This window comes from Homo sapiens, chromosome 16 (assembly GCF_000001405.40).
Source record: "Homo sapiens chromosome 16, GRCh38.p14 Primary Assembly".
Lineage (NCBI taxonomy): Eukaryota > Metazoa > Chordata > Mammalia > Primates > Hominidae > Homo > Homo sapiens.
The window spans coordinates 33008609-33023253 of record NC_000016.10 but is presented as its reverse complement, the minus strand read 5'-3'; the positions used below and the strand labels follow the sequence as shown (position 1 = coordinate 33023253).

At 38.2% G+C, this 14645-nt stretch overlaps 1 gene segment (V, D, J or C); it reads right to left on the bottom strand.

The window, feature by feature from the left end:
- Positions 1-13607: 13607 nt before the first annotated feature.
- IGHV3OR16-8 (immunoglobulin heavy variable 3/OR16-8 (non-functional)) lies at positions 13608-14130 on the bottom strand. The segment is given in 2 exon segments: positions 13608-13936; positions 14034-14130. Coding segments are annotated over 2 exon segments (375 nt in total).
- Between the last annotated feature and the right edge of the window lie 515 nt (positions 14131-14645).

The window sequence follows — 14645 nt, the reverse complement described above, 5'->3', positions numbered from 1 at the left end:
AGGACACAAACAAATGGAAGAACATTCCATGCTCATGGGGAGGAAGAATCAATATCGTGAAAATGGCCATACTGCCCAAGGTAATTTATAGATTCAATGCCAACCCCATCAAGCTACCAATGACTTTCTTCACAGAATTGGAAAAAACTATTTTAAAGTTCATATGGAACAAAAAAGGGCCCGCATTGCCAAGTCACTCCTAAGCCAAAAGAACAAAGCTGGAGGCATCACGCTACCTGACTTCAAGCTGTGCTACAAGACTACAGTAACCAAAACAGCATGGTACTGGTACCAAAACAGAGATATAGACCAATGGAACAGAACAGAGCCCTCAGAAATAATGCCGCATATCTACAACCATCTGATCTTTGACAAATCTGACAAATACAAGAAATGGGGAAATGATTCCGTATTTAATAAATGGTTCTGGAAAAACTATTATAATTGATAAAAAATTCTGTAAATTTGCAGAATACAACACCTACATACAAAAATTGGTGGCATTGCTAAATGCAAACAGCAAAAAATCAATAAAGCATTTTGTTTATAATAGCTAAAAATTATATTTCATATTACCAAATAAGTGAAAGATTTCTAAAAGGAAACCAAAAATGATTGATAATAAAATATAAAGCAAACACACACAAATTGAAAATATATCTGAAATATTCCATGTTCATGGTTCAGAAAAATTAATAGTTATTTTTTTCTTTCTTTTTTTATAATAATTTAAGTTCTAGGGTCCATGTGCACAACGTGTAGGTTTGTTACATATGTATACATGTGCTATGTTGGTGTGCTGCACCCATTAACATTACATTAGGTGTATCACCTAATGCTATCCCTCCCAGCTCCCACGACCCCATGACAGGCCCCGGTGTGTGTGTGATGTTCCCCACCCTTAGTCCAAATGTTCTCATTGTTCAATTCCCACCTATGAGTGAGAACATGCGGTGTTTGGTTTTCTGTCCTTGTGATAGTTTGCTCAGAATGATGGTTTCCATTTTCATCCATGTCCCTACAAAGGACATGAACTCATCCTTTTTAATGGCTGCATAGTATTCCATGGTGTATATGTGCCACATTTTCTTAATCCAGTCTATCACTGATGGACATTTGGGTTGGCTCCAAGTCTTTGCTATTGTCAATAGTGACACAATAAACATAAGTGTGCATGTGTCTTTATAGCAGCATGATTTATAATCCTTTGAGTATATACCAAGTAATGGGATTGCTGGGTCAAATGGTATTTCTAGTTCTAGATCCTTGAGGATCACCAAACTGTCTTCCACAATGGTTGAACTAGTTTACAGTCCCACCAACAGTGTAAAAGTTTTCCTATTTCTCCACATCCTCACCAGCGCCTGTTGTTCCCTGACTTTTTAATGATTGCCATTCCAACTGGTGTGAGATGGTATCTCATTGTGGTTTTGATTTGCATTTCTCTGATGGCCAGTGATGATGAGCCTTTTTTCATGTGTCTGTTGGCTGCATAAATGTCTTCTTTTGAGAAGTGTCTGTTCATATCCTTCGCCCAATTTGTGATGGGGTTGTTTGTTTTTTTCTTGTAAATTTGTTTGAGTTCATTGTAGATTCTGGGTATTAGCCCTTTGTCAGATGAGTAGATTGCAAAAATTTTCTCCCATTCTGTTGGTTGCCTGTTCACTCTGATGGTAGTTTCTTTTGCTGTGCAGAAGCTCTGTAGTTTAATTAGATCCCATTGGTCAATTTTGGCTTTTGTTGCCATTGCTTTTGGTGTTTTAGACATGAAGTCCCTGCCCATGCCTATGTTCTGAATGGTATTGCCTAGGTTTTCTTCTAGGGTTTTTACAGTTTTAGATCTAACATTTAAGTCTTTAATCCATCTTGAATTAAGTTTTGTGTAAGGTGTAAGGAAGGGCTCCAGTTTCAGCTTTCCACAAATGGCTAGCCAGTCTTCCCAGTACCATTTATAAATAGGTAATCCTTTCCCCATTTCTTGTTTTTGTCAGGTTTGTCAAAGATCAGATAGTAGTAGATGTATGGTATTTTCTGAGGGCTCTGTTCTGTTCCATTGGCCTATACCTCTGTTTTGGTGCCAGTACCATCCTGTTTTGGTTACTATAGGCTTGTAGTATAGTTTGAAGTCAGGTATTGTGATGCCTCCATCTTTGTTCTTTTGGCTTAGGATTGACTTGGCAATGTGGGCCCTTTTTTGGTTCCATATGAACTTTAAAGTAGTTTTTTCCAATTCTGTGAAGAAAGTCATTGGTAGCTTGATGGGGATGGCATTGAATCTGTAAATTACCTTGGGCAGTATGGCCATTTTCACAATATTGATTCTTCCTATTCATGAGCATGGAATGTTCTTCCATTTGTTTGTATCCTCTTTTATTTCGTTGAGCAGTGGTTTGCAGTTATCCTTGAAGAGATCCTTCACATCCCTTGTAAGTTGGATTCCTAGGTATTTTATTCTCTTTGAAGCAATTGTGAATGGGAGTTCACTCATGATTTGGCTCTCTGTTTGTCTGTTATTGGTGTATAAGAATGCTTGTGATTTTTGCACACTGATTTTGTATCCTGAGACTTTGCTGAAGTTGCTTATTAGCTTAAGGAGATTTTGGGCTGAGATGATGGGGATTTCTAAATATACAATCATGTCATCTGCAAAGAGGGACAATTTGACTTCCTCTTTTCCTAATTGAATACACTTTATTTCTTTCTTCTGCCTGATTGTCCTGGCCAGAACATCCGACACTATGTTGAATAGGAGTGGTGAGAGAAGTCATCCCTGTCTTGTGCCAGTTTTCAAAGGGAATGCTTCCAGTTTTTGCCCATTCAGTATGATATTGGCTGTGGGTTTGTCCTAAATAGCTTTTATCATTTTGAGATACATACCATCTATACCTAATTTATTGAGAGTTTTTAGCATGAAAGGTTGTTGAATTTTGTCAATGGCCTTTTCTGCATCTGTTGAGATAATCATGTGGTTTTTGTCTTTGGTTCTGTTTATATGCTGGATTACGTTTATTGATTTGTGTATGTTGAATCAGCCTTGCATCCCAGGGATGAAACCCACTTGATCATGGTGGATAAGCTTTTTGATGTGCTGCTGGATTCGGTTTACCAGTATTTTATTGAGGATTGTTGCATCTATGTTCATCAGAGATATTGGTCTAAAATTCTCTTTTTTTGTTCTGTCTCTGTCAGGCTTTGGTATCAGGATGATGCTGGCCTCATAAAATGAGTTAGGGAGGATTCCCTCTTTTTCTATGGATTGGAATAGTTTCAAAAGGAATGGTACCAGCTCCTCCTTATACCTCTGGTAGAATTCCGCTGTGAATCTGTCTGGTCCTGGACTTTTTTTGGTTGGAGTCTATTAATTATTGCCTCAATTTCAGGGCCTGTTATTGGTCTATTCAGGGATTCAACTTCTTCCTGGTTTAGTCTTGGGAGGGTGTATGCGTCCAGGAATTTATCCATTCCTTCTAGATTTTCTAGTTTATTTGCATAGAGGTGTTTATAGTATTCTCTGAGGGTAGTTTGTATTTCTGTGGGATCGGTGGTGATATCCCCTTTACCATTTTTTATTGCATCTATTTGATTTTTCTCTCTTTTCTTCTTTATTAGTCTTGCTAGTGGTCTATCAATTTTGTAGATCTTTTCAAAAAACCAGCTCCTGGATTCATTGATTTTTTGAAGGGTTTTTTGTGTCTCTATCTCTTTCAGTTCTGCTCTGATCTTAGTTATTTCTTGCCTTCTGCTAGCTTTTGAATATGTTTGCTCTTGCTTCTCTAGTTCTTTTAATTGTGATGTTAGGGTGTCAATTTTAGATCTTTCCTGCTTTCTCTTGTGGGCATTTAGTGCTATAAATTTCCCTCTACACACTGCTTAAATGTGTCCCAGAGATTCTGGTATGTTGTGTCTTTGTCCTCATTGGTTTCAAAGAACATCTTTATTTCTGGCTTCATTTCATTATGTACCCAGTAGTCAGTCATTCAGGAGCAGGTTGTTCAGTTTCCATGTCGTTCTTTCCTTCCTTCCTTCTTTCCTTTCTTCCTTCTTTCCTTCCTTCCTTCCCTCCTTCTTTACTTCCTTCCTTCCTTCTTTCCTTCCTTATTTTTTTCCTTCCTTCCTTCCTTCTTTCCTTCTTTCTTTTTTGACAGAGTTTCAGTCTTGTCACCCAGGCTGGAGTGCAGAGGCACAATCTCAGCTCACTGCAACCTCCACCTCCTGGGTTCAAGCGATTCTCCTGCCTCAGCTTTGCGAATAGCTGGGAATACAGCCACCTGCCATCATGCCCGGCTAATTTTTGTATTTTTAGTAGAGACAGGGTTTCGTCATGTTGGCCAAGCCCGTCTCGAACTCCTAACCTCAAGCGATCCACCCAGCTCGGCCTCCCAAAGTGCTGGGATTACAGGTGTGAGCCACTGCACCCGGCCTTTTTTTTTTTTTTCTTTTTTGATAAAAGTCATCTTAACTGAGGTGAGATGGTACCTTCTACCATTCTGTAGGCTGTTTGCGCACCATGTTGATTATTTCTTTTTTCTGTGCAGAAGATCTTTAGTTCAGCTAAATCCCATTTGTCTATTTTTGTTTTCATTGCATTTGCTTTTGCAGTCTTAGTCATATTTTATTTGCCTAGGGCAATGTCCCGAGAATTTTCCTTACATTTTCTTCAAGTACTTTTATAGTTTCAGTTTATACTTATAAATATTGAATCTATATTCAGTTAATGTTTGCCTCTGGTGAGATAGAAGTCTGGTTTTATTCTTCTACGTAAGGCTGTCTAATTCTCCCAGCACCACTTATTGAATAGAGGGTTGTTTCTCCAGTGAATATTTTTGTCAGTGTTGTCAAAGAAAAGTTGGTTGTAGATATTTGGCTTTATTTCTGGGCTCTCTATTCTCTTACATTAATTTTTTTTTAGATAGGATTTTTCTGTCATTGTCCAGCCTGCAGAGTAATGGCACGATCTCGGCTCACTGCAACCTCTGCCTCCTGTGTTCAAGTGATTCTCCACATCTTTGGCACTGCCCTAGTAGAGGCTGTCCGTGGTGGCTCCACTCCTGCATCAGGCTTCTTCCTGGGCACATAGTTCTCTATATACATCTTCTGATATCTAGGTAGAAGCTGCCCAGCCTCCTTCACTCTTCCATTCTGTATATCTGCCATAATCCAGTTGTCCCAACACCATTTACTGAATACAGAGATTTTTCCTCATTGCTTGTTTTTGTCAGCCTTATCAAATATAAGATGGTTGTATATGTGCAGCTTTATTTCTTTATTTCTGTTTTCTATTTTGTCCCATTTTTCCTGCATGTCTTCTCATGTACCAGTACCAAGCTGTTTTTGTTACTGTGACTTTATGGTGTAGTTTAAAGTCGGGTATCATGATGCCTCTGGCATTGCTCTTTCTGCTTAGGATTGCTTTGGCTATTCAGGCTGTTTTTGGTTCCATACAAATTTAGAATATATAAAATTTTTCTAATTTTGTGAAGAATGATGGTGATAGTTTTATGTAAATTGTATTGAATCTGTAAATTGCTTTGGGCAGTATGACAATTTTTACAATACTGATTCTTCCAACCATGAGCATGAAATGTTTTCCCATTTGTTTGTGTCATTTGTGATTTCTTTCTGCTGTGTTTTGTAGTTCTCCTTGTAGAGATCTTTCACCTTGTTTGTTACCTGTATTTCCAGGCATTTCATATTTTGTGTGTGTGAATATTGTAAGTGTGATAGGATTGTGTTCTTGATTTCAGTCTCAGCTTGGACGTAGTTGGGGTATAGAAATGCTAGATTTTTGTACATTGATTTTGTATCCCAACACTTTACCAAAGTTGTTTATCTATTCTAGAATTATTTTGGCAGGGTCTTTAGAATTTTGTAGGTATAGAATTATATCATCAGTTTGGAGAGATACATTGACTTCTTCTTTTCCTATTTGGATTCTGTATTAGTCCATTCACACACTATAAAGAAACACCTGAGACTGTGTAATTTATAAAGATTTTTAATTGTTTCATGGTTCTTCAGGCTGTACAGGAAGCATGGCTGAGGAGGCCTCAGGATCCTGACAATCAGTACAGAAAGGGAAGCATCATGTCCTACATGGCTGGAGCAGGAGGAAGAGAGACAAGGGAGGTGCCACATACTTTGAAACCAGATCTCCTGAGGGCTCTATCATGGGATCAGCACAAGAGAGAGAGAGACTCATCCCATGATCTAATCGCCTTTCACCAGGCCCCACCCTCAACACTGGGAATTACAATTTGACATTTAATTTGAGTGGGGACACAAATTCAAACCATATCAGCTGCCTTTTATTTTGATATTGCTCGGTTGCTCTGACTAGGATTTCTAGTACTATGTTCAATAGCAGTGGTGAGAGGGCATCTTGGTCTTCTTTCACTTCTAAAGGGTTTTGAGCTTTTGCTCACTCAGTATAATGTTGACTGTGGGTTGGTCATAGATGGCTCTTATTATTTCGAGGTATATTTTTTTGATGCCTAGTCTGTTAAGGGTTTCTATTATGAGTGGATGTTGGATCCTATCAAAAGCTTTCTCAGCATCTATTGAGATAATCATACAGTTTTTGCTATTATTCTGCTTACATGGTGAATCACAGTTACTGAATTGTCGATGTTGAATGAACCTCGCCTTCCAGGGGTAAAGCCTACTTGATCATGATGTATTAGATTATAAAGTGCTTCTGGATTCTATTTGCTAGTATTTTGTTGAGAACTTTTAGGTCCCTATTCACCAGGAATATTCATCTGATGTTTTCTTTTTTAATTATGCATCTTCCTGATTTTGTATCCCAAGAACACACAGTGAAGGATGGACAGTCTCCCCAATATATGATGTAAAAACTGGACATCCATATGCAAAAGAAATAAAATTAGACCTTCTCTAACACCATATTCAAAAATAAACTAAAAATGAACATAATCTGAAGCCACAAACTCATAGACCACATGGAAAAAAACTTCCTGTCATTGATTCAGAAATGATTTCTTTGAATTTAATAGAAAAAAGCACAGGAAAAAAACTATGTGCAATTATATATCTGACATAAGTTCTATCCAAAAGTATAAATAACTCATGCAACTCAATAGAAAATAACAAATGATCTGATAAAAAGGGCAAAAACTGGATAGGTTTTTCTTCAGAAAACACACACATGGAAAACAGAGCCTAAAAGGGTTCTCAACATTACTAATTATCAGAGGAATTCAAATCAAAATCATGATGAGATATCACCTCCCACCACTTAAAATGGCTGTTATCAGCAAGACATATAACACATATTGGCAAGAATGTGCTGAAAAGGGAAACCTTTTAGGGTGTGGTAGGATTGGTTACTCAATAAATTGAAAAATAAAGCTATCATATCATCTGGTGATCCCACTTCTTGTTATTTATTCAAAGAAGTAAAATTACTATGTTAAACACATGCTGATTGTAAGATTATTTATAATAGTGTAGATTTGTAAAAGAATTTAATGACCATAGATTGATGAATGTATAAAGAAAATGTGTATACATAAAACTGAATTTTATTCAGCTTTGAAAAGAAGGAAATTCTGACATTTGCAACAACATGGATGGGCCTGGAGGACATGATGCTAAGTGGAATAAGCCAGATGCAGAAAGACAAATGCTGCATGATCTCATTTACATGTGGGATCTAAAATACCCAAGCTCTTGAAAGCAGAGAGTAAAATAATGCGTCCCAGGATGCGGGAGGAGAGGGAAATTGGGTGATGTTTAAAGTGTACAGAATTTCAGGTGTGCAGGTTGAATGAGTTCTGGAGATCTAATGTACAGCAATGTTCCTGTATTTAATACTGTGTTATAAAAGTGATTTTTGCTGAAAGGGTAGATCTTAGATATTCTCATCACACACACACACACACACACACTCCATTTAAAAAAAATGTATGTGAGATGATAGATACACAAATTACCTTGATCATGATGAGCATTTTACAATGTGTATCTGATATGGTTTGCAACTTGTCCTGGCCTGAATCTCGTGTTGTATTATAATCCTCAATCCTGAAGCTGGGACCCAGTGGGAGAGGCTTGGGTCATGGGGTGGGTCTTTCATGAATGGTTTAGTACCGACTCTTCGTGCTGTTCTCATAATATTGTGTGAGTTATCATAAGATCTGTTTGTCTAACTGTGTAGACCTCCCTCTCTTCCTGTGGCCCCTGCTTTGGCCATGTGACGTGTCTACTACTATTTGTCTTCTGCTATGGTTCTAACTTTCCTGAGTATCACCAGAAGGAGAAGCCACTACACTTCCTGTACAGTCTGCAGAAAAATGAACCAATTAAGCATCTTTTTTTTGTTTCAAATTACTCAGTCTCAGGCATTTCTTTATAGCAGTGTGAGACTGGACTAACACAATATCAAAACATGAAGTGGTGCACCTTAAACATATACATTTAAAAATATTTCAGTTGTACCTCAGTAAAACTGAAAAAAATAAAGTTACTTTTATAATAAATAAATACTATGCTCATGGATAGGAAGAATCAATATTGTTAAAATGGCCATACTGCCCAAAGCAATTTATACAGTCAATGCTATTCCCATCAAGCTACCATTGACTTTCTTCACAGAGCTAGAAAAAACTACCTTAAACTTCATATGAAACTAAAAACAGCCCGTATAGCCAAGACAGTCCTAAGCAAAAAGAACAAAGCTGAAGGCATTATGCTACCTGACTTCAAATTATACTATAAGGCTACAGTAACAAAAACAGCATGATACTGGTACCAAAACAGTTATATAGACCAATGGAACAGAACAGAGGCCTCAGAAATAACACCACACATCTACAACCATCTGATCTTCAACAAACCTGACAAAAACAAGCGATGGGGAAATGATCCCTATTTAATAAATGGTGCTGGGAAAACTGGGTAGCCATATGGAGAAAACTGAAACTGGATCCTTTCCTTACACCTTATACAAAAATTAACTCTAGATGCATTAAAGACTTAAATGTAAAACCTAAAACCACAAAAACCCTAGAAGAAAACATAGGCAGTATCATTCAGGACATAGGCATGGGCAAAGGCTTCATGACTAAAACACCAAAAGCAATTACAACAAAAGCCAAAATTGACAAGCAGGATCTAATTAAACTAAAGAGCTTCTGCTCAGCAAAAGAAACTATCATCAGAATGAACAGGCAACCTACAGAATGGGAGAAAATTTTTGCAATCTATCCATCTGACAAAGTTCTAATATCCAGAATCTACAAGGAACTTGAACAAATTTACAAGAAAAAAACCAAACAACCCCATCAAAAAGTGGGTGAAGGACATGAACAGACACTTCTCAGAAAAAGACATTTATGCAGCTAACAAACATATGAAAAAAAAAGCTCATTATCACTGGTCATTAGGGAAATGCAAATCAAAATCACAATGAGACACCATCTCATGCCAGTTAGAATGTTGATCATTAAAAAGTCTGGAAACAACAGATGCTGGTGAGAATGTGGAGAAATAGGAACACTTTTACACTGTTGGGGGGAGTGTAAATCAGTTCAACCATTGTGGAAGACAGTGTGGAAATTCCTCAAGGATCTAGAACGGGAAATACCATTTGACCCAGCAGTCCTATTACCGGGTATATACCCAAAGGGTTATAAATCATTCTACTATAAAGACACATGCACATGTATGTTTATTGCAGCACTATTTACAATAGCAAAGATGTGGAACCAACTCAAATGTCCATCAATGATAGACTGGATGAAAAAATGTGGCATATGTACACCATGAACTACTATGCAGCCATAAAAAAGAATGATTTCAGGTCCTTTGCAGGGACATGGATGAAGCTGGAAGCCATCATCCTCAGCAAACTAACACAGGAACAGAAAACCAAACGCCACATGTTCTCACTCATAAGTGGGAGTTGAACAATGAGAACACATGGACACAAGGAGGGGAACATGACACACTGGGATGTGTCGGGGAGAAAAAGCATTAGGAAAGGGGAGGGAGAGCATTAGGACAAATACCTAATGCACGAGGTGCTTCAAACCTAGATGACAGATTGATAGGTGCAGCAAACCACCATGGCACATGTGTATTTATGTAAGAAACCTACATGTTCAGCACATGTATCCCAGAACTTAAAGTAAAATTTAAAATAGAAATAAATAGTAATCAAAAATAAAAAAGAAATACATACTTCATATTTTCTTAACAAAAATGAAACAATATAGGAAAACCTACACTAATATATTTGAAACAGCTTTGCCTATAATATTCATAAAATGGAAACAAATTTAAAGTACATCAACGGGAAAATAAATCAAAATATTCTCATTTATTTACTTAATGGACTGACTCAGATATAAAATCTTTCTCCTTCTCTCTCTCTCCATAAGTACATGAAAACTTTGAGGTTTCATATCAGAGTCAGTCTACGAATCGAATAAATGACAATATGTTGATCTAATTTTATACATTAAATAGTATGAATTAATCTCAAAAATATCAAAGCCCCTTTTGAAAAAAAAGGTCTGTAATGTTTGATTCCATTTATATAAAGTTCAAAACAGAAAATAAATGGATCTGTAGTGTCAGAAATCAAAACGTTTCCCCTTGCAGGAGTTGACCGCAAGAACAGGGAAAACCCGCGATGTGGGGATGGACTTGCTCTTCAGCTACCTTAGGTATTGAGAACAAGGGTATTCACATTTGCCAGAAACTCTCTAGTGATACATTTCAGATCTATGCATATTTTATTATATGTAAATTTTATCTCATAAAAACAAAAAATAAACTGTAGAATAGTTTAAAATTCAGTAAATAATAAAATTAATATTAAAACCCTATCCAAAATATGAACATTATTATATGAATTAATAAAATGCATTCAAGTATATGTACTAAAATTAAATCCCAGAAATCAAAAAGACAAAGGTAACATCTTAAACTTAATAATTAATATGCATGCATTTCATAGAGAAGAAAAAAAGTCAAGACATGAGGAACATATATTCCTTTTTTCCAATCAAATGTAATTAAATTATTTATACAATATTTTAACCTGTGTCATTAGTATAAATTACTAATATTTTGTGTGATATTACAACTGATAACAACTTTTAAAGAAAAAAAAAGATGCTTGAGAGCACGTGAACTAAATTGAATGTATTCTCAAAGTTGGTCCAACTATTACACTTCAAAGTTCTAATAATACCCTGGTTTGAGTGGGACTTTGAAAAAATTAATTTTAAGAGATAAATTTAAAACATAAACTGATAATCTGTAATAAAGAGAAATCAGCATTCCATATCAGAGAAAAATGAAAATTTGCAATACATGTAAAATCCTGAGAAGAAACCTTGAAGCACGGAAAGGGTCTCATGTATAGTAGGTTGTAATACGTCTATCGTTAAAATTATCACCTTTATGTTGTTTTGAAAAATTAAAGCTAAGCATAATGAAATTAATGTTTTTGTGCTCATCTGGTATAACAGCATGTTGAGAAAATGGAAGAGCCCTGTAACCCTGAGGAGGTGGCTTAATCCAAGGAGAGGCATCAGATTTAAAAATATATAATTAAAATTTCATTGAAAATGGAGAAATTTTGGTTGTATACATTTATGGGGCACAAAGCTATGTTATGGTTTGTGAATGCAATATGGAATAATTGAATCGAGTTAATTCACATATATATTACCTCAAATCGTCAAATCCTTATCTTTTTTGTGACAAGAACATTTGTAATTTTTTCTTGACTATTTTAAAATGACAAATACACTATGTTAAAGCTTAGAAATAGACATCCATTTATGTAAACTATAGAGAACTGTTGAAATCAATTATAGATTACTCTAATTTATATTTAGCTCATCATTAAGTTTAATTCTTTAGAAAATATTTTAGAATTATTTTGTTATAATGTTAAATATAAATGACTACACATGTATGTATAGGCTTGTGTATTTACACATATGTCTGCAGATGTAAATTAATGTCCCCATAGGTATGTAGTTGCTGGTATGGACAGACATTAATAAAACTAGGCCGGGCGTGGTGGCTCATGCCTGTAATCCCAGCACTTTGGGAGGCCGAGGTGTGCAGATCACGAAGTCAGGAAATCGAGACCACACTGGCCAACATGGTGAAACCCCGTCGATACTAAAAATACAAAAATTAGCCAGGCATGATGGCGCGCACCTGTAATCCCAGCTTCTCGGGAGGCTGAGGCAAGAGAATTGCTTGAACCTGGGAGGTGGAAGACGTTGCAGTGAGCTGAGATCGTGCCACTGCACTCTCCAGCCTGGCGACAGAGCAAGACTCCGTCTCAAAAAATATTTATAATATGAGCATGATTATATTGCCAAATATAAAATAAAATATCATAATGGCAACAATCAATTTTACCTGTCACCTTGACTAGACCGTAGTCTCATCTATTCAATCACACACTAGCCTAGGTGTTGCTCCCATGGCATAATACAGGTGTTAGTGGAGCCTGCCATTATTTTTTCCTAAGTCACGAAGAGTGTTCTAGATAATCTAGTTGGGACTGATTCAAAGACAGCATAACAGAAGACGATGGGGCTCCGTGGTGGACGGCAGATGCAGATCTTCCCAGGAATTCCAGCCTGTCTTTCCCGAAGGCCAGTAGTATTGACCTTAAACTGCCTAGCCAGATTCTACAATTATTGTTACCCAGAGCTCACAGCACAATGGAGTGCCCATCCTCAGCTCTTCTCAAAGTCACAGGTGAGAGTCCAAACTCAGATAGTATGAGAAGCACAAGATCAGCTCTACATCAATATCCCATTGGAGAAAACTAGTATTATTCCCTTCATGGCTAATGTCCACTACATTTTCCAAATGCCTCCATGCACAGAAGACAACAGGAGTGTCCAGACAATGGTGAGTGAGAAAGTCCCCTCAGCCTACCCAGGTCCTGCAGACCCAAGCCCTGGAATTTTGACTACAGAAAACACATCTTCTGTTTTCAGGGAAGAGAAGAAGAAAGGGAACTGTGAGAATCAAGTCTACAGAGATGGAAAATGGATCAGCAGAAAGAGGGTCAGCTGAATCAGTCTGAGTCAGATGGGCACAGTTTTACAAGTTGAGAGGGGATAGCTGTGAAAACCATCAGGTTTTAAGGACCCTGACCCTGGGTGAGCCTCTCTCTTGGCTCCCATCAGAGCTCAAGGCCTGTTCTAATCAGAGATTCCCATGGAGGTCTCTGCTCTGAGTCTAATTGGAAAACACTCTCCAGGTTTCCCTGAGATTCCTCAGGACTCTCATCCTGACCATGAAAGGATTATTTCTGCCCCCAAAGTGACACCCTGGCTTCTGTGGAGGTGAGGGTGTTTCCTCTTGTTACAAAAACAAAGGAACAAAAAAAAACGTTTTACATTTAGAGACATCAAATGTTAATATAGAATTGTAAATCTGGAGAAGTTCCCTGGGGAAATTTGACGATGAGGCTGCCCCAGGCCATGACAGAAAGCCAGCCCTCAGCAGCACCTGCACCTGCCCTGGAGACAGCCCCGTGCACAGTGTCCTGGCGCCCCCTGGTGGTCTCTGGGACCCCTTCAGGGAGGTTTGTGCCTGGGCTCTCACTGACTTCCCCTCGCTGTGTGTTTCACACAGTAATACACAGCCGTGTCCTCAGCTCTCAGGCTGTTCATTTGCAGATACGGTGAGTTATTGGCGTTGTCCCTGGAGATGGTGAATCGGCCCTTCACAGAGTCTGCGTAGTTTGTGTAACCACTATCACCACTAATGTATGAAACCCACTCCAGTCCCTTCCCTGGAGCCTGGCGGACCCAGCTCATGTAGTGGTTACTGAAGGTGAATCCAGAGGCTGGACAGGACAGTCTCAGGGACCCCCCAGGCTGTACCAAGCCTCCCCCAGACTCCACCAGCTGCACCTCACACTGGGCACCTGCAAACACAGAGACAACCTGGTCAGAAACTGCCACATATATTCACTGCTTATCTCACTCACGTCCTCTCAGTGTCTCTAGTTCGCCATAAATCACCTTTTATAATAGCAACAAGGAAAACCCAGTTCAGCCCAAACTCCATGGTGAGTCCTCTGTGTTCAGTGCTGATCACCAGATGGAAATTCCTGGGAATTCTGGGGCTGGGGCTCTTCTCCCAGAGCTGCAGGGTCAGGGCTGGGCTGGTTTTTATCAGCAGACAGAGGGCCCTATTTGCATGTCTCCTACTATATAGCAAGCTCTGTGGTGGGACAGCTGAGGAGAGGGCAGTGCCCAGAGAAGATGAGAGCATCCCAGAAAACATTGGAGGTAATCCTATCTCTCAGGAAAATATAACTTCAGATTATGTGATTGTGCCTTGATGATCAATTAGCAGTCATCATCTTATTTAATGTTTACACATTTGCAGAATATATTCAGTGCAAGTGTCAATGTTACATTTGTAGAGAAGATGAATTACATACATAACAGAGCAGTTGTGCAATGTGTCCAATATCACACATCTGGCCAGAGTTAGCCCTATTACCTGTGTCTGTGCCTCTAAACACTGGAGGAGACTGCTCCCCTGAGACAGCTCCAGGGCGATGTGGGACATGCCTAGTGAGGTTTTCAGGATGTCCCACCTGTCATAACAACTTTATGTGACTTTGC